Here is a 25753-nt window from a genome sequence, read left to right on the forward strand (position 1 = left end):
TTTCATTTTAATTACCTCAGGAAAGCACAGACCTTCACAGGGTTGGCCTCTGCCTGCTTCTCAGAATCAATAAAGGTTTATAATAAAACTCAAAGTTTTACTGAAAACAAGCAGCACCTATTTCACATGAATACTGGCTTCACACTTTCCCTGCAGATTGAATGTGTTTCTTGAGTCTGGGTTAGTCTTAGTAAGTAGGAAGAATTCTTTTCCTTATTACTAATACAAAGCACACCAGAAACATAAACAGTAGTGTATGTTCCTGGGTCGTAATAATTCTTTTGGCTGAGCGCAGTGGCTCACACCTGGTGGATTGCTTGTGCCCAGGGGTTCAACACCAGCCTGGGCAACATGGCGAGAAACTCTGTCTCTACTAAAAATACAAAAAGTAGCCAGGTGTGGTGATGCGCGTCTGTAGTCCCAGCTACTTGGGAGGCTGAGGCAGGATCACTTGAGCCTAGGAGGTTGATGCTACAGCAAGCCATCATCATGCCACTGCTCTCCAGCCTAGGCAACAGAGCAAGTCCCTGTCTCTAATAATAATAATTCCTTTACATATCAGAAATATGCTTTAAGTTTTTCTGAGCAGGCTGACTAGCTAATAGACTTATTCTCCCTTGTATGCAGCCTGGTTCTGGGAAAATGTGTGGCCCGATGGGCTGATGCTTGCTCTGATCTTTGGGCGTGCACCATGCAGGCCAGTGCTGAGGACCCCAGCAACCCTGTTGCAGCAATTGAAGGGTGACAGAGTCCTTTTTCCCTCCAGTCCAGCCTTTCATTTGCTCTGTTTTCAGCAGCAGTATACACTGAACACAGAAGCAAGCCCTAGATGGTGACTGAGGCCACCTGGGCTAAGGTGGTAGGACCAGGCTTGGAACCTGAGTTTCTTTCTGATGCAGGTCAGTCAACAATGTGCTCAAATATTCTTCTGTTGATTCAGCCTGTGTTTCTTGGTTTTTCTTTTTTCTTTCTTTCTTTTTTTTTGAGACAGGGTCTCACTCTGTCACCCAGGCTGGAGTGCAGTGGTGCAGTCATGGCTCACTGTAGCCTCGACCTCCCAGGTTCAAGCGATCCTCCCACCTCAGCCTTCCAAAGTAGCTGGGCCCACAGGCATGTGCCACCACGCCCAGCTATTTTGTTGTAGAGATTGGGTCTCACTATGTTGTCCAGGCTGGCCTTGAACTTCTAGGCTCAAGCAATCCACCTGCCTCGGCCTCCAAAAGTACAGGGATTACAGGCATGAGCCACTGCCCCCCAGCCTGTTTTGTGGTTTCTATGATCATGGAAGCTTCTGTGCCTCCACACATTCATGGTCAGGAGAGGACAGATATATCTACACTAAGATGTCTGTTTTCAGCAGCAGGTAAATGGAAACCAATCTCAATCTGGTTTAAACAATTTGGAAATCAGTTAAAAGGAGATCCAAAAGCAGGGGGATTTGGTTTTTCTGACTTGCCATGCAGTGTCAGCTTGATTCCAGGGTTGGTTCCCAAGCAGTTTATTGCTGACTGCCACTGATGGTTGGGGCTACACTATAAAATTCCCTGTTCACAGCCACCAAGGACAGCTTGGCTTCGTGTAGCTAGCTTTTTCTTAGAAGCACCCACAGGCCCTTCCCATTCTCCAGGTTCACACTTACTTACACCTGCCAACTCCTGAGCTTAATCTTCGTAAGAGGGACCACCATGATTGGCACCGAACAGTCAGCTGTGGGGGCAGCTGCTGGGGATTCACCAATGTCCACTCTCTGGACCAAATCTTCTGGAAAGACTATAGTTTGGATTAACAGAGTGCAAGGGCTATGCTTTTTCCTATATTTTGGGGATGATCTGTAATAGAATACTCACAGGGCAATTATTTAGGCATCTGTTATATATGTTTGCTAAGTATTAAGGTAAGTGGCACGGGGAAAGCTGATTTGATATCACTGATCTTTTAGGCTCCTAATGAAAGACAATTGTTAAATCAGTAGCAAAACAGTACTGACCTCTCAGGTTCTTAGGAGACCTTTGTATGATTATTAGCAACAAAGAAGTGTCTAGCACTTTAACCCTGTTCTTTCATTTAATTCTCCCAGGGACCTGCTGAGGTAAGTTATTACCCATTTTGCACGTAAGGAAATGGGATTAGAAATATGAAGTCACCTGTCCAGGGTCACACACAAAATTGGCAAAGCCCACCTTTGTAACTGCTTCACTATAATGTCTCTTTTGAATGTGTATGAGCTGACACTAGGAGCAATTCTCTGACACCTGCAATGTGAATTATTTCCTAAATTTGACAGAAATCTCTGGCTGCAGAGGACCAATCACTAGGACCTTTTCCTCTGAAGTCAGAATAAATAGGACACTAAGACAAACTCAATTTTGCATTTCATTATCCAAGCAAAAATCATTAAATTTTATCACAGTTTACAATCCATGCACATAACCCAACTTTAATTCAATATATTGTAAAAATGAATATAATTCTATTTTTTCTACAATCAGATGCACAAGATTTACCTCAATTGAATGTGGGAATCTAGATATTTAAAACCCTAAGCATACATGCTTTAAAAAAATTTTTTTAACGTACACTCCTAGTGTTATTCATTGACATATTAAGATGCGTACTCAAATATGAGGAGTCTAAGTGACTTCATGGATTTAGCACATTTTTCTCGTATGAGGAAACAGAATTTCTATGATGAATTTATAAACAACAATAACCTCATAAATTCTTAGTTACTTGCTACAGATTGAGCGTCTTATCCAAAATGCTTAGGACAAGTATTTTGGATTTAGAATTTTTTTCAGATTTTGGGATATTTGCAGATACTTAACCAGTTGAGCATCCCTAATCTGAAAATCTGAAATGCTCCAATAAGCATTTCCTTTGAGCGTCATGTAGGTGCACAAAAAGTTTCAGATTTTGGAGGATTTCAGATTAAATTTTTGGATTGGGGATGCTCAACCTACATTCTCAAACCCTTAAGAATCTGTATTGTATATGACAAGTCTGAAGATTATGGTTAACATGTATGCTATGTGAATTGACAAGTTTTGTATTGGGAAGGCAGCCATCATACCGTTGTTGCAACAGTTCCAAGAAGAGGATGTGCATGTTCACAGAACACCTCTGTGTCCTGGGGGATGCGCCTCCCGGGGAGGGGGGACTATTTTCAGAAACATAAGGCAATGCAAGCAATGCACACTCCAGAGCCTGTGGGTCATGTGAAGTCAAAGCAGTGTGGGGCAAGAGACCACAAATTTGCAACATGCTACAACCAGAATGAGGCCACTCTACCAAGGCTGCCCTATCCTTGGTAGTGCCCCACTCTACCAAAGCTGCTCCTCCCTGCCACAGGAGAAGCCTTGAGGAAGTCCCCTCTGGCTCTCTGGCTGTTCCTCTACGAGAGCTAGAGGGGACTTCCTCAAGGCTCCTCCTGTGGCCCACACCTCACCTCCTGGGGTTCCCTCTGGGTAGGTAGTCTCGGGTGGGATCCAGGCATCTTCAGTTTCTACAAGCACCTCAGGAGATTCTGTGCACAGGCAGGATGGAGGGAGGTAGGAGGGAAGATAGAGGAGGTGGTAGCTCAGCCACCATGAATAACGAATAAAAACTTAGTTCAGTCATTGGCAGTGATCTCGGTTTGTCACCAGACTGAGTCTGTGGTAGAAGTGGCAGTTTACAGGTGTATCTGCAGTGAATATTCAGATCCTTAGCTTAAGAAAGTGAGACCCAAGAGTATCTGAAAATGTTATAAGGCATGAGAACTGGCACTGGTATCATCAGACAAGATTATAAGAAGCCTTTTAGACTATGACAGTATGCCAAACATTACAGGAGAAATACACGCCCACAGTAATATTTGAGGAGGAAAACCAGTATAACTAACTGAGGTAGAAACAGCACTACACCAACATGGCACCCAGCCGGTTAAACATCTCCTTCCACAAAACTTTCCTCTGGAGAAGTTTGATGACCCTATGACCACCCTCATAATATCCTAGTGATCACATGAGATTCTGCAGAACAAATTCTCTACATGAACTTGGGATCTTCCTTGTCCAGATCATTTGAAGCTGTCATACCGGAAGGGGCATTCTGTGTTGACAGCAGAATGACATGCCTCATTCTCTAATTTTGATGGTCTTTCATGCTGCTGTTGTGATAGAGCCAGTGTAGAGAGGCAGCACTTCCACAAGAGCAAAAGAGAGGCTTGCACAAAATAAAATCTGTATGAAGCAAGCTGAAAACAAGTTTTTTTTTTTTGTTTTTGTTTTTTGTTTTAGCTTGGAGCCATGTTTTTCAAACTCTGGGAATGGGTTGCAAAATGGATGGAAATGTAATGACGTTTCCAGTTTTGTTTTTTGGCTGGCTTCAAAACTAACAAGGTTTTGGAAAAAGATATAAAATTCATGGTAAAGTTTACACAAATTCTTCTGATTCGGAAATGGATACTGTAGCAATTAAGAGAAAACCCCATTTATCTGTATTTGTAAATTATACATTATAAAAATCCTTCAGGAACTGAGAGTTCTTTAAAGTTCTATTGTAGAACTTTAAAACGTTTCATGCCAAGTGGCCCTAAAGCATTTTCAACAGTGATGACTACCCTTGTTTATATATAAAGATTACCCACTCAAATGTAAACTGCCCTAAATGACCTCAAGTTCTCATCAATATTCAAATCTCATCTTCGGTATGTTCATCAACAGCTGTATCCAAAAATCTATCTTGTGATAAAGTGTAGTCAATAAGCCCTATGCTCCTTAGAACTAAGTAACAGATACAAGCAGGAGACCAGGATGTTCAAGAATTGTCATCTCCAGTAAGTCTGTGGTCCTTCAAATCCAGTGGCCTGTACTTACCAGCCCTTAATGATGCCACACTAGAATTCATGAATGTGTAATGGAGCTATCCTGTTGTGAGCAGCATACATGAGAAAATAACTTACTTCTTGAAGGCTACAGTAATTGGCTATGCCCTAAAGCATGAGACTTGATTATTCTAACACATATAATTATGAAAGTTATTATAGGCATAAAATTAGCTCTTTTAAAAATGCAGCTACAGTACTACTCAATGTGACCCTGAATCTTACTTTGTGGCCACATGTAGGTGTTCACACTGACAGCAAGTATTAATCACAGACATATAAGGGAACCTTTCAGATGACTCCAGCCATGTGACCATGAGGGATGCCAAGAGAGAACAACTTGACTCCCCTAGAATTAAAAGATTTTCATTAAAAAAAAAAAAAGTGACTGTTAGTCTTTAGGCCATTGAGTTTGGGTGTGATTAATTATGCAATAGATGACTAGAAAACATGCATTTCTTAGCTCCCTCTTCAAATTCACTAAAGCCAGCAAGTGAATAAAAAGATATAACCCAAAGGATAGTTCTAGAGGAGACACAAGGTATAGAAAATGTCAACCCATTTTTGGAAGATATAACATGCAGACACAAGAAAATAATCACCAAAGTGCTTCAGACGGGGATGCCAGTGAAGACACAAAAGGGCTTCTGCCCCTGGAGGCTCACAAACTGGAGGCACAGGTGTCTTGGAAGGCCAGGATGGGACTGAAGACGGGGATCAGTTAGGAATCTCTGTGAGGGATCATGACATCCTAAGATTCCCTAATGCCATGCTAGCAGAAAATAAGTTTTCTTTCTGGTGGGGGGATGGAGGGGCAATGGAGGGGAACAAAAGAACTAGAAGAGGCTGGGGACTCAGGGACACATGCATGGCTAATACCAAGGTTATTATACTTAACTGAAAACAAACGGCTAAGTCTACATGCTCACCAGTAGAACTCTCCCCTCCACCTCTTATCCTTAAGATTGACACAGACAGTTCCTACTTAGGTAACATTTAAAAAACAAAAAACTTCCCTTGGAACAACACATACTCTAAAAACAGGGATCAAGGGTCAGTGCATTTTTCTGAGAATGTAACTTTCCATCCGATTCTCAAAGAGGTTCATGCCTATCTCAAAGGACAGAACTACTATTCTGAGATATTTGAGCCAAGTACAACTTGGAAGTAACACTTTTTCAAGGCCCAGGAAGCCCCAGAGACTAAAGGGGTGTGAGTCTCAGAAAAGCAGTTCAGGAAGAGGCTAGGAAATGCATTCTTGGTGTCCCTGCATTCTCATACCATTAATCCACCACAGGGAAAACAGCCTTTCTCTATTCTCCTCTTGGGAAGAACAAGGGCCATTTATATAGAAGTTGAGGCCTCCCCAAATAGCCTGGCAGGCTGTGCTAGAGCTTGACTTTGACACAGCATGGAGATGCGTAGAAGAGTTTTCTTCCTCTCACAGCCCTCAAGGACAGAAGAGAAGAAACAAGCAGAGAGAGCTACTAATAAATGTTCCACCCCTTGCTAGCCAGGCAACTTTGGAGGAATCATCCTCTTTGTTTAGGTCTCGGCCTATTTAGCTGCAAAAACAGGATAATACCATCTACTTCACAAGGTTATTGTAAGATTAAACAGGATAAGGTATTAAGTGTAAGGAATGTGCAATCTGCTCTTCAGAGATTATATCTATCTGTCCAGATTCCATACTTTTTTTCTGAGACAGGGTCTTGCTCTGTCACCCAGGCTGGAGTGCAGTGGCACAACCATGGCTTACTGCAGCCTTGACTTCCCTACCTCCCCAGGCTCAAGCATTCCTCCTATCTCAGCCTCCTGAGTAGCTGAGACTACAGGGGCAGGCCAACCCCAGCTAATTTTTGTATTTTTTAGTGGAGACAGTGTTTCGCCATGTTGCCCACGCTGGTCTCAAACTCAGGCAATCCACCTGCCTCAGTCTTCCAAAGCACAGGGATTACAGGCGTAAGCCACTGTACCTGACTCAGATTCCACAGTTAAAAAAAGGGGGTGGGGATAGGTGGCTAACAGCAATTACGTGAGGTTTAAAAGTTTATTTTACAACCATGTAATTGTACAAATGATATAAACAGAAGTCAGATAAAATTATTAGTACATATATAGTACTAAAGCATAAACTATTACAGAAAATTTGATACAAAGTTGTACATAAGTACTTGTAAAGGCAATTAAGCTTCCCCAGTCTATGGGAATACAAAAGTTGCCAGCAATTAATTTACATTACAAAAAAGGAAAACCATTATTTATGCTATCACAAAAGCAATACCCTTAAAAGTAAAAACAATCTCCACTTGATATTAGTAATTTGAAAAACTTAGCATATCTACAACTACTGCTTAATCAACACTTTTCATTGATTCAACATTATCACTTAAATGCAGATGCAAAATAACCTTGCATGGCAAACATGTTTACTCTGTGCTAATGAAACTATGAAACAGTTCCTCCAAGTTCACAGACAAGTCAATCAATGATTGACTACAGAACAGACTGGTGAGTGTTACAAAAAAAAAAAGACCTGCCCAGGGGACCACTAGGGGTGGAGGAAGAACACCTGGGTCTCACTCACTGGGCACTTGATGCTTTCATTTTTATCTGTAAGCCAGGGGACAATTATATTAATATTGTATGAATACACTGCTACTGGGAAAAGCATTCATTCAACAGATGCCCACTACATACTCTGTACCAGGTAGTGTGTTAAGTGCTGAAACAGGGAAGGACAAGGCACATCCTACGGGGGCTCGCAGTGTGGGCAGGTGCTGAGCTAACGCACACACACAAGGGCTGGGTACTGCCAGATCTGTATCACTCCGGAGCAACGACCTGTCTCTCTGAATGATCTCTGGCATGGTAAAAGAGTTAACTGTATTTCAAAAGGTGAAACAAAACTTTTTTTGCTTTGTTATGCATGTTTCAAATTGATCAGTGGTTCAGGCCTGGAGTATGCATCAGAATTATCTGTGAAGCTTAGTGAAAGTGCTGATGCCAGAGCCCACCCAAAGCTTACTGCTTCAGAACCACTGGGGACCTGGCAGTTCTGATGTGCACGACTAGTCAAGAATCCTTTAAAGGCTGATAAAGCAATCTTGAAATCACTGTCAATGCAAAAGTGGATGTTCCTCATTAATAAGAACTCAAAAAATAAAGTACAGCTAGTATAAGACTTGTTTTTTGTGCCTATAAAACCCAAGTGTTAGCTACTTTCTAACTATAAAATTCTATCCAAAAAGACTTGCAGTCAAAACACCGAGCCAAAAAACAAAAAAGGCACCAAAGCAGTGCCGACTTCAATGTGCAAAGGCCTTTTACGTGCTGATATTGTAAGCAATCTGTGTGCATGTGTACATATGCATCTGTTTTCAGGGAAAGAAAAGCTGTTAAAGCCAATTAAGGTTATGAATTCTTGCTACTACTTTAATATTAAACCTTTAAGTGAAAATTTATTGAACACTATTACAAATGTGGCAAACTGACATAGCTGGTTTACTGCACAAACTTTAATGTCAAAGGGATTAGATCAGAGCTCCAGTCTCACTTACTGGGCCTATAACATTGTGCAGGGCACTTATCTCACCTCAGGAAAATGGAAGTAACTGCTTCATTTTACAGAGGTATTAAATGAAAGAAATGAGAAAACTATAAACCAACATTGAAGCCTGAATTATTGCTTAGTATTTAAAGTCTAGTACAATTGCAATGTTTTTAATAAAAAAACTCATTGATAGGTGTATTTTTACAGTGTATCTAAAAGCAGCATTTAACATTAAAAACTTAGTATTTAAAAGAGTACACAACCAGGCAGGGTGTGGTGGCTCACGCCTGTAATCCTAACACTTTGGGAGGCCAAGATGGGAGGATCACTTGAGGCCAGGAGTTCGAGACCAGCCTGGTCAACACAGCGAGACCCCAACTTTTTTTTTTTTTGAGACAGTTTCGCTCATCGCCCAGGCTGGAGTGCAATGGTGTGATCTCGGCTCACTGCAACCTCTGCCTCCCGAGTTCAAATGATTCTCCTGTCGCAGCCTCATGAAGTAGCTGGAATTAGATGCCCGCCACCCCGCCTAGCTAATTTTTTTGTATTTTTAGTAGAGATGGGGTTTTACCATGTTAGTCAGGCTGGTCTTGAACTCCTGACCTCAGGTGATCCACCCACCTCACCTTCCCAAAATGCTGGGATTACAGGCATGAGCCACCATGCCCGGCCAATGCCATCTATTAAAAAAACAAAGAAAAAGAGTACACAACCACAAAGCACTGGGCCAAATGCATTGTTTCCATGTTTGCAAGGATTTACCATAGAAATATTAGGTTGATGCAAAAATTAAATTTCCAGACTGCGAATTTTAAATCATTGTAACTACGCTAAAACATATTCTATTAATCAAAACAGGAACCATTACAATCAACACATTTTTGCCAATGAGAAATGTTTGTTTATTCCTGTAGCATAAAAATCCGTGCTTCAGGATTTGACGAACTCTTGGAAAGCATTTTCTGCACCATGCTGAAGTGTTTTCCCTGCAAAAAGTTGTCAAGATGCTAGCAGAAGTGGTAGTCAGTTGGCGAAAGGTCAGGTGAATATGGTGGATGAGGCAAAACTTTGTAGCCCAATTCCTTCAACTTTTGAAGCACTGGTTGTGCGACACGCAGTCAGGTGTTGTCGTGGAGAAGAATTGGGCCCTTTCTGTTGACCAATGCAGGCAGCAGGTATTGCAGTTTTCGGTGCATCTTACCAATTTGCTGAGCATACTTCTCAGATGTAATGGTTTCACCAGGATTCAGAAAACTGTAGTGGATCAGATGGGCAGCAGACCACCGAACAGTGACCATGACCTTTTTTTTGGTGCAAGTTTGGCTTTGGGAACTGCTTTGGAGCTGCCTCTTGGTCCAACCACTGAGCTGGTTGTTGTATAAAATTCACTTTTCATTACATGTCACAATCCGATTGAGAAATGGTTTGTTGTTGCGTAGCATAAAAGAAGACTACACTTCAAAACGATAGTTTTGATTTCCGCTCAGCTCATGAGGCACCCACTTATCAAGCTTTTTCACCTTTCCAATTTGCTTCGAATGCTGAACGACCCTAATGACCGTAGAATAGTCAACGCTGAGTTCTTCTGTAATTTTTCATGTAGTTCAATGATTGCTCTCAATTGGTCGTTGTCAACTTCCCATGGCCCATATCACGTTCCTCATCTTCAAGGCTCTCTTCCTTGCAAAACTTCTTAAGCCACCACTGCACTGTATGTTTGTTAGCAGTTCCTGGGCCAAATGTGTTACTGATGTTTTGAGTTGTCTTCGCTGCTTTATGAACCATTTTGAACTCGAATAAGAAAACTGCTCCAAATTTGCTTTTTATCTAACATCATTAGACAAAAAGCATATTCTAAAATAAACAGCAATAAGTCATTAGCAAAAAAATAAAGTGAGAAATGTGCATTAAAATGATCCACATTTATTTAAGAATGTATTCCAATATCAAACAGCAAATTTCAAAAATGCAAAAACGCAATTGCTTTTGCCTCTCAGGTACATCACTTGACCTTTCTAGTTCTCACCCACTTCACCCCTAAAATCGGAAAATCTTTCTGCAAGAAAAAAATTTGACCACATTCCCTTAAGGCCTCTTCCAATTTCAAGAGCTGTGCTTTACCATGACAAAACGAACCTAGCTCTTTTCCCAATTTTGCAACGTCAGAAAAAGGAGGAAGGGGAAATAGCTGTGTTTAAAACATTTTTTACCAAATAGAAATATTATAAGATTATGGAAAAAAAAATACTAAATGTTGGAGTCATCCTGATAAAAACCCAAATGGATACTGTGTGGGAAAAAAAGTTAACCCATCCATTCTGGAGTCAATATTTATTCTTAATAAGCAAGAAAACTGAAGAAAAAAAATCAGTATAAGATCTACAGCCTGTAGCCTAAACACTTCAGGGCATTTAGGATAAATAAGCGCCTGCACCTTCCCAGGCAAGTCAAAACCACGACATAAAACAGAGAAATATGTAAGGAAAACCTACAGCCCAAGAGTTTAAGAGCAAGACAGGCCAATTTCTTCAAATAAATTTAAGCAATGCTGCTAAAAGCTGCTTTACACATCCCTATTACCATGTACTACTTCCAAATTTCGAGGAGGAGGGGCATGGAATTACACAAGATCTGGATCGTATGTTTACTAAGAAACCAAAAATTATAGGTTCTGGGGCGTTTCAACATTTCACCTGAGATGGCCAGAACGGGCGCATCTTTAGACCTTTAAAACCTAAATTAAAAACTATCAGTACCGAGGAAGGGCCGAAGAGCTCAATACCCACCCAATACAACCCCCACTTCCGACCTACAGACGCTCTGCTGAGCGGCTGGGAGAATCCGTCGCGCCAGTCAGGGCCCGGCTTCTTCCAACAACAGACACTTTGCGAGCCTTCCAGAAGCCTTGGCTAAGCGAGAAGGCAGGGTGGAGGCCGCCACTGCGAGGACGGTCCCCACCCAGCTGCGAGGAGCTCGCGGTTCCCCAGAGGGGCGGGCCTGCGTCCGGGTAACCGTGCGCGACGTCCACGAGTTTTTAGGACGACCAGCCCTTCAGCCTCTAGGCCCCGACGCCTGCGCCATTTAAGCCACATATCCGCCCGCCCGGCCGCGGCCAAGGCCGGCGGCAGCTACGTAGCCGCCGCCGCCCGGGGCCCCACAGCCCACGGGCCGGATGGACCGAGCGCCGGCTGCGGCGTTCCGGTGCGCGCGCGCGCCTCAGCCAATCGCGTTCTCGCCCGCCCCCCGCCGCGGCGGCGAGGCTGGCGCTGGGAAGAGGAAGAAGAACATTCGCCCTCCTCCTACCAGCGCGCGGGCGGCGGCGGCGGCGGCACCGGGGTCACGAACTCTGACCTTTCACTGACAAAAACAATAACAAACCCCCCCTTCTCCGCGACCCCGGCGGCGCCCCCGGGCCCGTCCCCGCCACCCCGCTCCCACCTCGGCGTCTCGTCTCTCGCCCGCTGCCCCGCGAGCCCGCGGCCCCCGGGCTCCCGCCATCCGCCGACACCGGGAGCCCGGGCTCCCCGCGCCCTGCCCTCCGCGCCGGGGGCCGCCCGCCGCAGACACGGGACCCGCTTCGAGGCCGCTTTGGCGCCAAATCCTGAGGTAAAATTGAAAGAGGGTCGGGCGGGCTCGGGCCGGCGGCGGAGGGGGCGGGCCTGGCGCGCGGACATGGAGGCGCCGCGGCGGCGGCTGAACCCGACCCTTTTACCTTTGCCACGGGGTGGCGGCGGCGGCGCCCGGCGCTTTGCATAGTGGGCCGGGCCGCTCCCCTCCCCTCCCCGCCCGCGGCCGGGCGAAGCGAGCGGGTTCCCCCTGACCGGCCCGGCCGGCGCAAGGGTGGGGGTGGAGGGGGAATGGCCGCGGCCCCGCCTTATAGTTGGCCCTCCGCCAGCGCCGCCATTTTGTTCTCGACGGAGATGGCTCCGGCTGGGCGGGCTCCCTTCCTCCTTATCCTCCTCCTCCTCCCGCCTGCAGTCCCTTCTTCCTTCTCTGCCGGGATTTTCACCCCTCCGCTTCTAGTCCGCCTTTGGCGGCCGTCGCAGCCCAACCGCCGTTTTTTCTGAAGGGGAGGGTAAAAGAAAAGGAGGAAGGCGGGTGCGAGGCGCGACCTCGTGAGCGACGGATGGGCTGGCTAATTGGCGCCCAGATAGGAGGGCCGGGGCCTGTGGCACCGCCCCCCTAAGCTTTGCTGATTGGCTGAGGCGGAAGAGGGTGGTCCTTATGGGGCGCGGGAGCCCTGGCGGGGCGGGAGTAGAGGCCGGGGCGAAGAGTGGGGCCGGGTCGGCGGGGGCGGGGCCGGGGGCGGGGCGCGAGGGGCGCGGCCGGGTGGAGAGGCCGGCGCCTGGTCTTGGGTCAGCAGGTGGGCTGCTTCCCTCCGCCTGGAACGCGTCTCGAATGAGTACTGAGGAACAATAGTAATAAAGGTGATGAAGCATTTCGAGTCCACGATGCGCTCTCGTGGGAAGAGGTTTTCGGAACCAGGACACTTTTCAGGGCTCCTGCTCGTTATTTCGCAGCGGCCTTGGCGAATCCCCTAATGAGGCTCAATTTTATCGACTGTAAATGGGGGGCATGCGCATTCTTGCCAGGCCGGACCTCCCTTCTGAGCATTGTTTGTGGGGCTCTACTCAGAAAATGGAGGCAACGCTACTTTGCGAGCTTCAGAGTCACTTGAAAATGGTGTTATTGTTAAAAATGGGATTACAGCCACCAGGAGAGGCAAGCGTTAAGGGTATTTGGGGTTTGAGAGAGCACAATTCGGGAGTGATTCTCTTCTCATTCGTTCGCTGAATACATGTTGACTTAGTTTTTTAGGCACTGGGGACACATCTGGAGAACCAGCTGTACAAGACCCCTGCCCTCACTAGAGTTGGGGGCTGGGGGGTGAATAGACAAATAATTCCAGAGAGTCATAAGTTCTGTGAAAGAAAAGAAGCCAAATGACCTGCTGAAGAAGACCTGAGGCGTTAATTTAGATGGAATGGTCAGGGTGGCCTCTCTGAGTAAGTGATGTTTGAACAGAGGAACCCAAGGGAGGAATGGCATTCCAGACAGGACATCCCGTGTAACGGCCCTGGAGGAAGAGCATTTGATGTGATCGAGAACTGGCTGCTTGTGGCTGGAGAGTTGGTTGGAACTAGTAATTGTCCATTATCCCACTTTGTTTCCAAGCCAAAGGCTGTGAAATATAGCAACGGTAGTGAGGAACAAATCTTCAATGTAATAAGAAAGTCGAGGAAAATACAGCCTTCATATGAATTACTGATGAATACATGACTTGGGAGGAGGGCCTCAGAAACTCACTTTACTTCCAGATTCAAATCCTTCGTCAGCCTCTTATATACATTTTCAGTTCATCAAGTATTTCCTGAGTGCTACGAATACTCCAGGCACTATGTGCTAGGCTGGGAATACAAAAAAGTAAGACACTGGTCCTCAAACATGTGAATATGATTTATTTATTTATTTATTTATTTTTTGAGACCAAGGTCTCACTCTGTCGCCCAGGCTGGAGTTGAATATAATTCTCTGTGTGTGAGTTCTCTCTTTCTCTCTCTCGAGATAGAGATATTTATACACATACATACACAGACATAAAATGTTTTAGTGTTGTGGTTAGCAACTCCCCAACTTTTACTAGCAGTGTGATTTTGTGTAAGCTACCTTTCCTAGCCTCACTGTCCTCATCTGGACAATAATAGAGCCTTCCTTCCTGAACTGAAGATTAGATGAGTTAATGTAAATAATAGAGCTTAGAAAAGTGCCTGACATGTAGCAAATACTGTGTAAATAGAGTTATTGTTGTCATTATGAACTACTGGTATAGACATTGGACTAATTAAGTGATATAAATAATGAAATTTTTATGCAGTGTGGTGTAGGGGCAAAAACAATAGATTCGAACACCGAGATTCTAGTTTTGGCTCTGTGCTTGCAGCTAGTTACATGGCATCCAGGACAAAAGTTTGGAAAACAAAATAATGGAACTAAATAGTACTAACCAAAGTATAGGGTGCTTTATGATTTACAGAACTCTCTTACAGGCAGTATGTTGTTCAGGCGCCACTAGAACCCACGTAATGGCAGAGGCTTCCTGTTCCATGTTTAAAAACCTTTCCAAGGCTTTTCATTATTTTCTTATCTGTGGTACCCCTAGCTTCCTGTGCTCTAGACACACTGGCCTACCTTCAACTTCCTTGACCAGTGTAGCTTACAGTGTAAGCTTACCCCCCACCCCCACCCTACCTCAGATATTGGCTCAAGCATCACTTCTTCAGGGAAGTCCTAATTCCCATTGCCAGTCTAAATCAGATTCTTTTTATTCTTTTCTTTATAATCTTTATCTCACTTTATAATTACACACTCTATTATGTGATTATTTGATTAATGTCTGTCCTTACCACACTGTAAGCTGTGAGAGCAGGAATACATTTTGTTTACCATTACTTATCCAGCACTTAGAAGAGTGCCTGGCACTATTTGTTGAATGAATTGTTGATAATTTATGATGTCACTGATAACTAAGTTGCTGTACATTGATGGATACCTTTTGTGTGAGCCTCTTTGGCAATTCAGATAGCACTGCCAGCAATAATAAGCCTGTTACGGTATTTGGTTGAATTTAGCAAGTGATTTCTGACAGATATGCCACTTTCTGGAGACATAAATATGGATAAAATGACCCATTTCAATAGTTTTTCCCACTCATTTTTTTATGATTGAATTACAAGTTTAAGTGCATGAAAGTTAATAAGTTCATATGTGAAGAAATAAATAGCCCAAACATAACTTATGTTATTTACTTTAGCTGAAGAAACGAAGCACTAAGCTACCATGATTTTCTTGAAATCAAATATTCTGATTTTTGTCTCACCATCACAGGGGATTGGAGAGAAGGAACAAGCCTCCAGTGGGTTCACAGGGAATTGGGAGTTGAAAGTCTCTGTAGCCATTAATTCGGGATATTTATCTTTCTAAAGATAAATTGATTCATTTAATGAAATTATTGAAAATCACCTTTTAATTGCTTTACCAAGGTTAAAAGCAAATTTTGTTAAGTATACATCAAGTTTCTACTCGAAAGTGTGGTAAATAAAACATTTGTATTAACTTATTTTATATTGTAAAACTTTTAAAATAAGATATTGTTATGGTATTTTAAAAATAATAATAGTTTAACTGTTTATTTTTGGGTTTTTTTTTCTGTCTTGCTCAAAGATTTTTGGTATCACTTGTTCAATTCCTTAAGCTAATTACTCAGGGTAACCAAAGAACTGCTAGTTTAGTAAAACAGCTATATGTTGTCTTACATCGTTAAGTTATTTATTGCTTTCAGTAGTTGTATTCACAGTGACTTTTAAGTTTTGTTTCGTGATCATTCTTTTATAGAAAATCCCTGTGCGTAACAACCTCCTCACTTTATGAGGATGGCTGGAAGTTTTTTTTGTGTGTTTTTTTTTGTTTTTGGGAGTCTCGCTCTGTCACCCAGGCTGGAGTGCAGTGGTGCGATCTCGGCTCACTGCAAGCTCTGCCTCCTGGGTTCACGCCATTCTTCTGCCTCCGCCTCCCCAGTGGCTGGGACTACAGGTGCCCGCCACCACGCCTGGCTAATTTTTGGATTTTTAGTAGAGACGGTGTTTCACCATGTTAGCCAGGATGGTCTCAAACTCCTGACCTCGTGATCCGCCTGCCTCGGCCTCCCAAAGTGCTGGGATTACAGGTGTGAGCCACTGCGCCCAGCAACTGGGAAGTTTTTAGCATCTGTCTCCAAGGAGTAACATGGCAAGGGCAGTGCAGTGACAGAGCTTGGGCTATGAAGGCAGAAAGGCCTGGCTTCAGAACCTGGAGTTGGTAGCCTCTCTGAGGCTTATAATTCCCCATTTGTCAAACAGGGAGGTGGGAGCCAGCATTGAGATTGGGGCCAGGGATAGCGGATACTTGTTGTCTGAATGACTTTGAGAACAAGGGAGGTGAGTCTTTGTGGAGCAGCCCTGTCTTCAGCCGTGGCACTGAGCCACTGGTCTGTGTCTAGCTGCCTGAGTGTCTCCACATATCGAGGGCCCTCCGTTGGGATTTTTATTGTTGAGTTCTCTTACCTATAAGCCATACGCTCCTTTAGTCCCAAACCATCTCCTGTACAAGTATCATCTTAAAAAATACCACACGGGGGGAGTCCGTGAAGGAATCTTAGAATCTCAGAATTGGAAGTGGTCTAGACCCCAAGTCCAGCCTTGATGTAAGGATCCCCTGCTAGATTTTCGTTTACCTCTTTTTACTTTATTGCTAATTATGAGGGCCTTAAATGATGCCTTTTTTCTTCCCTGTGTGATCATCATCTTTAACTTAATGGATACATTTGTGCTCCTGTTACACATTGTAAAAGATATGTTCTTCCTTATTCGTTGGAGGTTTGCTTGCCTTCAACTTAATATGCCAGAGGCTGAGATTCTCTGTCATTCTCTCCCATCCTGCCACTCTTTCCCCATATCCCACTATTGCTACCCGAGGTAGCAGTCCTACTCCCCTTGCTCACTTCAGGTCCTGAGTGCTAGAGAGTAAAGCAGCAGGAGCTCTATACCAAAAGGAAGAACTGCCCAAGAACAACAGCTCAACTAGCACAGCTCAACAATGATGAGGAGTGGGAATGACTAGAGGGATGAAAGCCAGATCAGGGCATTGGCGTAGGCATTTGTTAAAGGTACAATAAATGCAGATGCAGACCCCTGGTACCTGGAAGTCTTAGAATAGAAGGATGGGAGGTGAATTGTTAAGGACAGAAAGGGAATAGGCTAGCTCAGACACTTAACTGTTTTTTCTGTGTTACCCTTGGACTCCAGTTGGCCTGTAATGATGAAAGTCAGCCTCAGAGGCAAGTGTGATTTTTTAGGGGCAATAAAAAGTACCTCCTTCACTGTAATAAGAGGCCTGAAGTCCTTTAATAGGAGGTGAAACTTTCTATTCCATAATTATTAACAGTTACCTCAAAGATTCTAATCCCTGAAATGTTAACATGTAGATGGAGAGGAATTTCATTCCAAGTGCCCAAGTGTAAAAGAATATTTCCCCCCTGTTTGCGTTAGTGAGAGGTGTGAGAAAAGGTCTTGGGGCCTGGAAAATGGGGTGACTGCTGCTGAAAAGTGAAGAGAAATGAGAGGCTGGTAGGGCTAGACTCAAGCCTGAAGGCTTCCTGGTTTTACAGGGAGCTGCTTTATTTACCTTTGTTGTTCATATGTTGATAAAAGCTATGCAGGGGAAAAAGTTTCCTACCTGACTGCCCACCCATGTTCCTTAAAAAGAAAGATTCACGTATGGCCAGGCGTGGTGGCTCACCCCTGTAATCCCAGCACTTTGGGAGGCCAAGGCAGGCGGATCATGAGGTCAGGAGTTCAAGACCAGCCTGGCCAACATAGTGAAACCCCATCTCTACTAACAATACAAAAAATTAGCTGGGCGTGGTGGCAGGCGCCTGTAATCCCAGCTACTCGGGAGGCTGAGGCAGGAGAATCACTTGAACCCGGGAGGTGGAGGCTGCAGTGAACCAAGATCACGCCACTGCACTCCAGCCTGGGCGACAGTGCGAGACTTCATCTCAAAAAAAAAAAAAAAAACAACTGAGGCTGGATGGCTCTTGAGAAGTTACACAATACTAGCGGGCTTCATGCTGCATTTCCCCCAGTGTATTTGTTGTATAGTGAATCTGATTAGGTATTATTTCTAGAACATTTTGGATATGTCATTTGTACCACACTCGTTCTTGTCCCCTGTCCCACCACTATGGTGTCTGTAATGATGCATCTTTTTATTAGGTTGATAAGATGACTAACCCTGGAATTGAAAAATCATTTTTTAATTGATTGCTTTACCAAGACTAAAAGCAGATGTCACAAAGTATATATCAGCTTTTAACTGGAAAGGCTAATAATTAGACTGTGTTGTTGACTTATTTAATATAATACAGATTTTTAAAAATAAAATAAATTTATAATATGTCTTTTCTAAAGAAATAAACAATGTACTTTCTCGAGAATAAAAATTAAAAATAGATAAAAGTAAAACAGTTAATTTTTAAAAATAGTAAAATTTTCAAACGAAGAAAAGAAAGCAGTACATCAAAAGGCATGTGTGAAAATGTTCATAGGAGCACTAATCATAAGGACTCCAAACTAGAAACAATCTAAGTGTTCATCAGCTATAGAATGGAGAAATAAATTGGGCATAGTCGTACATTAGAATACTGTACGACAGTGAAAATGGATTCACTTCTCATGGTTATTACAAAAATAATGTTGGGCAAAAGAAGCCAGACATACCAAAAAGTGTATTATAAACAGTGCAATAATATTATAAAGTAATGCCAGTAGTATAAAAGTCAGGAGAGGGAAGAGAAGTTATTGACTATGGGAAGGGGTGTGAGAGGGACTTTTGGGGGTATTGGTAATGTCTTGTTTTCTGATCTGAGTGGCATTTACATGTGTGTTCTGTGTGTTCAGTTAGTGAAAATTCATCAAACTGTTCATTTACGATTTGTGCCTTTTTTTGTTTTTTGAGATGGAGTCTCCCTCTGCCGCCCAGGCCGGAGTGCAGTGGTACGATCTTGGTTCACTGCAATCTCCGCCTCCCAGGTTCAAAGGATTCTCGTGCCACAGCCTCCCGAGTAGCTGGGACTACAGGCGTGTGCCACCATGCCCAGCTAATTTTTTGTATTTTAGTAGAGACAGGTTTTCACCATGTTGCCCAGGCTGGTCTTGAACTCCTGAGCTCAGGCAGTCCAGCCATCCCGGCCTCCTAAAGTGCTAGGATTACAGGCAGGAGCCACCGAGCCTGGCTGGTTTGTGCCCTTTTGTATCTGCGTGTTGTAGTTAAGTAAAAAGTTTTACTTAGTAAAATTGTTCTCACTATTTTAATTAATGTGATTATTGTGTAGGTTAAGTTTTAAGGGAAGAATGTGTTCAAAGTTCTAAAAGAACTGCCATGGTACTACCTGGGTGGAGCAGCCTCAGAAATTTCTGTTAGCAATACTGAAACATAAGTCACATATTACGACTTAGTGGTTGTGTATATCAGTTATTAAATGATCTAGCTTATTGATGTAAGCAATTTTTGTTCCCTTAGATAATTCTTTCCTGTCACTTTTTTTTTTCATTCTCTCCTTGACTTCCTTTTTTCTGGGAAATTATTTTGAAGGGCACTGTGATCTAGAGGGAATGTTGCGATTTTAGAGTCAAAGAGGCCTCAGTTGGAATCCTAGCTCCATCGCTTAGTAGCTGGATGATTTGAAACGAGTTACAAGTGCTGAGTCTCAGTTTTTTCCATCTTCATTGGTGAGCTAATATTACATACTCAGAAGGTATGCTAAGGATTAAATCATGCCTAGTTTGATTTAAAGCACATTGTGGATGTCAAGAGAATTTATCCTGCTTTCCTTCCATCCATCTACCCTGGCTCTTACTGATAGATATGAAGAAAGTCCACATCACCCTTACACTTGGGCTCTTGGTAGGATAAGAAAAAATCATCCACAGTATGTAGTGACTTTTTTAGGGGAGGTGTCAACACAGAAAATTGTAGAACTGCTCTGATACTATAAATATGTAAGAACTTCATTTATGTGAAAGCCACTTCTCTTCCCTACTAGTCACTCACCCAGCCTTGCTACTTCTACCATATACATATCATTGCTGCACTTTTTTACAGTTGCTTTGAATATGGAAGAAACAACTTTCCTATGGAGGGTCACAATGGAAAGGAAATTACCTGACCCTAAAGCTAAGTAAACTTGGAGTCTAAATAAATAATTGGCTTTCCATTGACAGGAAGTATACCTAAACTTAACCTTAGAGGCATCCCAGTGAGTATCTTTTCTGTTGATGAACATTTGTATTACACTAAACCTGCCACTTGAATTTCATTTTCTACTTTCAAGTCTTGATCTATGATTGCAAGTTTCAAGCTATGTATTTCTTATTTTTTATCCTCTCTCAGGCTATCTAAATCCTTCCATTTTAATTTTCCCATGAATATGAACAGACTTCTAACAATCAGAATAATTAGACTTATACTGAATGCCTTGTACCTATCAAGAGTTCTATGCCCAGTAGTATTTTGCAAGTAGTTATTAGGTATTGGTTTATTTTTAAATATTTGTAAGATTTTGTCCTAATTTAGCCCCATTGTTTTGCCCAGTTGTACAGTTTAACAGGGCGAATTACAAATGCTTTGTGTGGGTGTTTGTTTTTTTATTATTTATTTATTTTTTGAGACAAGAGTTTTACTTTTGTTGCCCAGGCTGGAGTGCAGTGGCTCAATCTCAGCTCACTGCAACCTCTGCCTCCTAGGTTCAAGCCATTCTCCTGCCTCAGCCTCAAACAGCTGGAATTACAGGCATATGCCACCATGCCTGGCTGATTTTGTATTTTTAGTAGAGATAGGGTTTCTCCATGTTGGTCAGGCTGGTCTCGAACTCCTGACCTCAGGTGATCCGCCTGCCTTGGCCTCCCAGAGTGCTGGGATTACAGGCATGAGCCACCGCCCCGGCTGTGTGTGTGTTTACACTACTTCCATGTGTATATAGTTAAATTTCATGTGAGCCTTATGTGAAAATCAGACCTATTCCTAATCATAATACACATTTTACAGTTTGAGTTACTTTCAGATTTCTTTGAGAAAGCAAAAGTGGCACCATCACCTTTCACCAATGATAGCTACCATGTGTTGCATTTCTATGTCCCAAGCACAACGTATACACATTTAAGATCAAATCTTCACTATAACCTCATATGGTCAGTATCTGAGAGATGAGCTTAGTGCCTGAGCCTCAGAACCCAATATAGTTGTTTAGCTAAGGAAATACCAAGACAGTAGATACTTTGCATGTTATATTTATAAGCCATGTAACACATAAATATGGATGATTTGAATCAGTTGATTGTGGAGGGAAAGGCAGCCTCACTCATTCCTATTAATGAAGGCAGCGTCTCCTTGTCCCAGGACTTGTTCATTGTTATCTGAAACTGGAGATTCAGGTGTTTCCAGAGCCCAGCTTTTCACTGCAGTGAAGTCTGTGCCCTACTTCACTAAAGAAACTCTGGTTGCAAGGTTTAGTTAGCTATCACTTTGTGAGCCTGGAAGAGCTAATTCAAAGTCATTGTTCTGTTCTCTGCTTCTTTGTTGTTGGTGGGGTGATATTGATCCACTTGGATTTGAAAGAATTTCTTATAAAACCTGTCACATAAGGCCAACCAAGTATGATTTACTACTATCATTCTATGGTCTGTATTACAATTTTTTATTTTTTTAGAGATAAGGTCTCACGATGTTGCCCAGGCTGGATATGAAATAGTTTTTATATACTGTGCCCTGTTGTCATTTGTGTGCTATCGAGGAAAAACACACTACTTTAAGAATCTGCCTTCATCTCTAGACTTTACTATTGCTACCACTTCCTAACTGGCCTCCCATCTACAGTCTCTGTCTTTTCTATCATTTCCACACTGCAGTCTAAATTTTTTTTTTTAAGATCCAGATTTGAGTGCATCATTTTTCTGCCAAACTCCTGATAATTCTCTGTTGTCTACAGTGTCAGCCTCTCTCCTTCCCTGGTCTCTGTAATAATTCCACACCACATTGCCATTCCTCAAATATGCCACTCTTCCTCATACCTGCCAGTTTTGTATGAGCTGTCCTCTCTGCTTAGAACTCTCTTGTCATCCATCTGTCTTTCCTTGCTACATTTCCATTCTTCCTTCAAGACCTAGTTTAAATAATTCCTCTCCTGTAACGTTTTCATTGGTTCTCACAGGCAGAGAGCAATGTGTCTTCCCCTGGGACACTCATAGCATTTGCTTTGCATAGATACTTCAGTTTCCTTCATAAGTTCATCAAGGACAAGGACTGTTTATTCTCCTCTTTCTCCTCCTTGTTGTTGTTAATTCTCAGCAGTCAGTTCATTGCCTAGTTCATAGCAGTTACTTAATAAGAACTGATGGAGGTGGTTGGACTTGATTAGTAAAATCACCAGAGGAAGATCTTCTGTAGCACTTTTTTTTTTTAACTTAAGGTACTCAGTATTATACTTCTTTTGGCAGCTAATCAGGTTCTTTCCCCTAAACATTATTGTGGGGGTGGGGGGCAATCTTTGAAGGTTAACAAGCTGAATGGGTGAAGTACTAGCCTTTAGGACTCAGGTTTCTGTACCAAGAGCGAGTTTAGTGTTCTGTCCACAGTGGTTGTTAATATAATGCCTTGTGTATAGTAACCACTTAGTGTTAGTTGCTGCTATTAGTGTTATGCTTGGCTCCACCAGCCAAGAAGGTTGTTTTTAAAAGCTTTATTTCTTTTCTATACTTTGTAGTATCAAAACAATAGGATTTTTTTGTTGTTGTTGTTCCAGATTGGTTGGGTGCTGCGGCTAATGCCTGTAATCCCAGCACTTTGGAAGGCTGAGGCAGGCAGATCTCGAGGTCAGGAGATCCAGACCATCCTGGCCAACATGGTGAAACCCCGTCTCTACTAAAAATACAAAAATTAGCTGGGCATGGTGGCGCATGCCTGTAATCCCAGCTACTGGGGAGGCTGAGGCAGGAGAATCGCTTGAACCAGGGAGTCGGAGGTTGCAGTGAGCCGAGATCGTGCCACTGCACTCCAGCCTGGCGACAGAGCAAGACTCCGTCTCAAAAAATATATATATATAAAATTGTGCTAGTGAAGATAGTTTTTCAAACTACATCTAGACACAACCCACTGTTCCTTGGAGCCTCTTATTCTAGTGGGACATCTCCTAATTGATAACCATTTTCTGGTGGTACTTTTTCAAAGATGTATGACCTTCTCACTGTGTGATCTTTCTGTCTCTAGGACCGCCTATGGCTGCGGTAGCAGTGAGAGAAGCTCTCAGGTGAGAGTCTTATACCCTGATGTTACCTTTTTTGTCTGGGTGCATTTTGGTTAAATGTCCACGCTGCCCCACTTCCTTACATTACTTGAAGATTCTGTTTTACTTCTTACATTGTGATATCCTGGAAGAAAAAGCCTTTGTCTTCCTTTTTTATATGAGAATAGGCTATATGGTTTGTGACTTATTTTCAAAAGTAATAGAAAATATTTTTTGAAACTACTTCTCTCCTCCTCTGACTGGATTTAAGTCTTTATTGAAAGCACTTGCTTTAACATAGTTTCTCTTTCAATTTCTCTCTCACTCTTAGTCTCATTTTTTTGTCTCTGCTTGTTTTTCCAGAAGGTGCACATTCCTCCTTGTTCATTTTTAAGCAGCTTCCAAAGCTGCTGTTGATGATGCCTGATGCTGCTTTGAAGGCAGAAAACCAACAGTGAGATCAAGAATTGTAAGAATTCAAGTGTATAAAGAAAGGTTGCTGCTCAATTCAAGTGTATAAAGAGAGGCGTTTAAGATGATCCAGGAAGTTGGTGTGGGAGAACAAGGTGGGGGGCACTTGTCCTATCAGAGAGCAAGACTTACGCTAACACTGCAGTAAAAAGATAGTGGTGGTGACCAAGAGAAAGACACAGAGAACTTAGTGGAATAGAATAGAGAACCTACAGTTATATCCACATATATAGGAAAAACAGATATGGCAGAGATGGCATTTCAGATCAGTGGGGAAAAGGATAGATTTTCCCCATATAGATAATCCATTTTCCAGAACTATTTCTTGAATAGAAAATGGTAAATGGATTATCTACATGGGAAAAAAATTAGTTGGATCCTTACTTCTCATCAGATTCAAGAATCAATTTGCAGATGGATTGAGGAGTTACATATGAGGGGAAAACTGGAACATTTCTAAGAAAATATTTACAGTTACATTCCTGGGATAGGACAGGATTTTCATAAATGAAAGTACAAACTGTAAAAGAAAATAGGGATAAATTTAGCCTTATTAAATTTAAGGACTTCTGTTCATCAAAAGACACCTTAAAGAAAGTAAACAGATGAACCACAGAGTGGGTGAAGATATTTATAACTTATCAACAAAAAATTAATGTCCAGAATACTTAGCTTTTCTAAACTTAAACAGATTTACTGCTGCTTCTCTGTGACTTCATATCTGTAGTCACCTGTTGTTAGATTTATCTTGGGATCCCCAGCCCTACCTGAAGTTGATTGATCCTGCAAATTTAAAGTGAATTATTACAGAAATAATTCTGTACTAGGCCTCTATTAAATCAGATTGTCATCTATAAAATCCACTTTTACTCATAATTTGATGTATCAAGCCACCTCTTTTAGGGAACCCAATAGAAAGATACACCTTTCTAGTACTCTGTTTCTATACTATTCAATAATATTTTCCTAACAATATTCCTGTAATAATTCAAATTCACATATTTCTTACATTGAACTATAGTTAATAACAGAGGAGAAATTCTGTTGACATCTAAAAGTGATAAAAATTATTAGTTGCAGCCACATGTTTAGATTTATTTTTTAATGTACAGTACCTATTGGCTATCCATTTCTTTAAAAATTCTTATTTTCTGTTTTGAGGAAGAATCAGACTCTAGACTTTTACATGCAATACTTGTATTTTTAACAAGTCAGTTGACTTTTCTGGTAGACTTAAAGACGCCTTTTCCTTCCATCTCCATTAGTTGTAACCAAACTATAGCAAGAAAAAAAGACCAAAAGGTATCTTTGTGTTTTTTTCTTGTAGAAACAAGTAAAAGTTAAGTTTTTACCATCTATTAAAACAATAAACTTATCTCCTCAGTTTCAGACCTAATCATATTTTGTGAAAATGAGTAACTGATACTGGTGGTCTCATGTCATTGTAGAAGTTGGTGCAGTATCTGCTGTCACAGAATTTTGACTCCTTGAAGACAGGAGCCAGGTCTTTCATATTTGTCAGTCACAGTTTCATCCTCCTGTTTCTTTCTCTTAGCATTCTGGCAATAAAATATGAATTAGAATTATCATAATAGAGGTGGCTATCTAATAATAAATAGAATGATGTAGAAAGTTACCAGAGAGTTAAAAAGCTTCATAGAGATCAGTGATTATAATACCTTAGATAGGAACTACAGAAAAATATTTTGTAAAATTGTATTGCAAGATAATCCACTTTGTGATTGAGGGAGGGCAGGCAAATGAACTGTAATTTTCTATATTGCACACTCAATAATACTGTATAGTTTTTATATGTAAATCTTGGTAATAGATTTGAGCTTTGTTCTCCTGTGGACCTTGGGACCTATACAGTCAATAGTGAATGTCCAGAAATTGGGTCTAGATTATACTGAATTCTTTGTGGTAGAGCCTTTGAAAGGGCTTAGGAAATATTCAGGAGAGCTTTCTCATGACCAGAAGAGACTGGAAGTCT

At 42.2% G+C, this 25753-nt stretch overlaps 1 protein-coding gene and 1 long non-coding RNA gene across 28 annotated transcripts in view, besides 11 other annotated features; one reads left to right on the plus strand and one right to left on the minus strand.

Annotated features, from left to right (window-relative positions):
• Positions 1-6895: 6895 nt before the first annotated feature.
• Positions 6896-12558, minus strand: FGD5-AS1 (FGD5 antisense RNA 1). 5 transcript variants are annotated; one of them, NR_046251.1, is made up of 2 exons: positions 12130-12558; positions 6896-10271 (listed from the first exon to the last, which is right to left on the minus strand). It is a non-coding gene; the product is annotated as an FGD5 antisense RNA 1 (long non-coding RNA). The 5 variants fall into 5 exon arrangements; NR_046255.1 differs by lacking the exon at positions 12130-12558 and adding an exon at positions 11856-12010; NR_046254.1 differs by lacking the exon at positions 12130-12558 and adding an exon at positions 11231-11622.
• Positions 10851-11540: an enhancer, noted in NCBI's record as "H3K27ac hESC enhancer chr3:14988241-14988930 (GRCh37/hg19 assembly coordinates)". NCBI's record gives its function as "activates a minimal SCP1, AML or CMV promoter by ChIP-STARR-seq in naive H9 embryonic stem cells {active_cell/tissue: H9 hESC(naive)}" and the evidence as "EXISTENCE:reporter gene assay evidence [ECO:0000049][PMID:30033119]".
• Positions 10851-11752: a biological region, named in NCBI's record as "H3K27ac hESC enhancer GRCh37_chr3:14988241-14988930".
• Positions 11323-11752: a silencer, noted in NCBI's record as "silent region_14096". NCBI's record gives its function as "represses an Ori minimal core promoter by ATAC-STARR-seq in GM12878 lymphoblastoid cells {active_cell/tissue: GM12878}" and the evidence as "EXISTENCE:reporter gene assay evidence [ECO:0000049][PMID:35858748]".
• The window catches only part of NR2C2 (nuclear receptor subfamily 2 group C member 2), a 101691-nt gene continuing 87637 nt past the window's right edge, over positions 11700-25753 (plus strand). For 7 of the 23 annotated variants that reach the window (XM_011534061.4, XM_047448837.1, XM_047448832.1 and 4 more), the window contains exon 1: positions 11700-12023. The gene's annotated coding sequence lies outside the window, so the exon portion shown is untranslated. Of the gene's footprint in view, positions 12024-12748; positions 13842-23273; positions 23856-25753 lie in introns of those variants that run through there. The other 16 variants (XM_047448829.1, XM_011534058.4, XM_047448836.1 and 13 more) reach the window with 9 other exon arrangements.
• Positions 11803-11872: a silencer, noted in NCBI's record as "silent region_14097". NCBI's record gives its function as "represses an Ori minimal core promoter by ATAC-STARR-seq in GM12878 lymphoblastoid cells {active_cell/tissue: GM12878}" and the evidence as "EXISTENCE:reporter gene assay evidence [ECO:0000049][PMID:35858748]".
• Positions 11893-12312: a silencer, noted in NCBI's record as "silent region_14098". NCBI's record gives its function as "represses an Ori minimal core promoter by ATAC-STARR-seq in GM12878 lymphoblastoid cells {active_cell/tissue: GM12878}" and the evidence as "EXISTENCE:reporter gene assay evidence [ECO:0000049][PMID:35858748]".
• Positions 11893-12916: a biological region, named in NCBI's record as "H3K27ac hESC enhancer GRCh37_chr3:14989619-14990306".
• Positions 12229-12916: an enhancer, noted in NCBI's record as "H3K27ac hESC enhancer chr3:14989619-14990306 (GRCh37/hg19 assembly coordinates)". NCBI's record gives its function as "activates a minimal SCP1, AML or CMV promoter by ChIP-STARR-seq in naive H9 embryonic stem cells {active_cell/tissue: H9 hESC(naive)}" and the evidence as "EXISTENCE:reporter gene assay evidence [ECO:0000049][PMID:30033119]".
• Positions 12363-12562: an enhancer, noted in NCBI's record as "active region_19522". NCBI's record gives its function as "activates an Ori minimal core promoter by ATAC-STARR-seq in GM12878 lymphoblastoid cells {active_cell/tissue: GM12878}" and the evidence as "EXISTENCE:reporter gene assay evidence [ECO:0000049][PMID:35858748]".
• Positions 12703-12762: a silencer, noted in NCBI's record as "silent region_14099". NCBI's record gives its function as "represses an Ori minimal core promoter by ATAC-STARR-seq in GM12878 lymphoblastoid cells {active_cell/tissue: GM12878}" and the evidence as "EXISTENCE:reporter gene assay evidence [ECO:0000049][PMID:35858748]".
• Positions 12917-13604: an enhancer, noted in NCBI's record as "H3K27ac hESC enhancer chr3:14990307-14990994 (GRCh37/hg19 assembly coordinates)". NCBI's record gives its function as "activates a minimal SCP1, AML or CMV promoter by ChIP-STARR-seq in primed H9 embryonic stem cells {active_cell/tissue: H9 hESC(primed)}" and the evidence as "EXISTENCE:reporter gene assay evidence [ECO:0000049][PMID:30033119]".
• Positions 23508-23647: an enhancer, noted in NCBI's record as "active region_19523". NCBI's record gives its function as "activates an Ori minimal core promoter by ATAC-STARR-seq in GM12878 lymphoblastoid cells {active_cell/tissue: GM12878}" and the evidence as "EXISTENCE:reporter gene assay evidence [ECO:0000049][PMID:35858748]".

Source organism: Homo sapiens, chromosome 3 (assembly GCF_000001405.40).
Source record: "Homo sapiens chromosome 3, GRCh38.p14 Primary Assembly".
Lineage (NCBI taxonomy): Eukaryota > Metazoa > Chordata > Mammalia > Primates > Hominidae > Homo > Homo sapiens.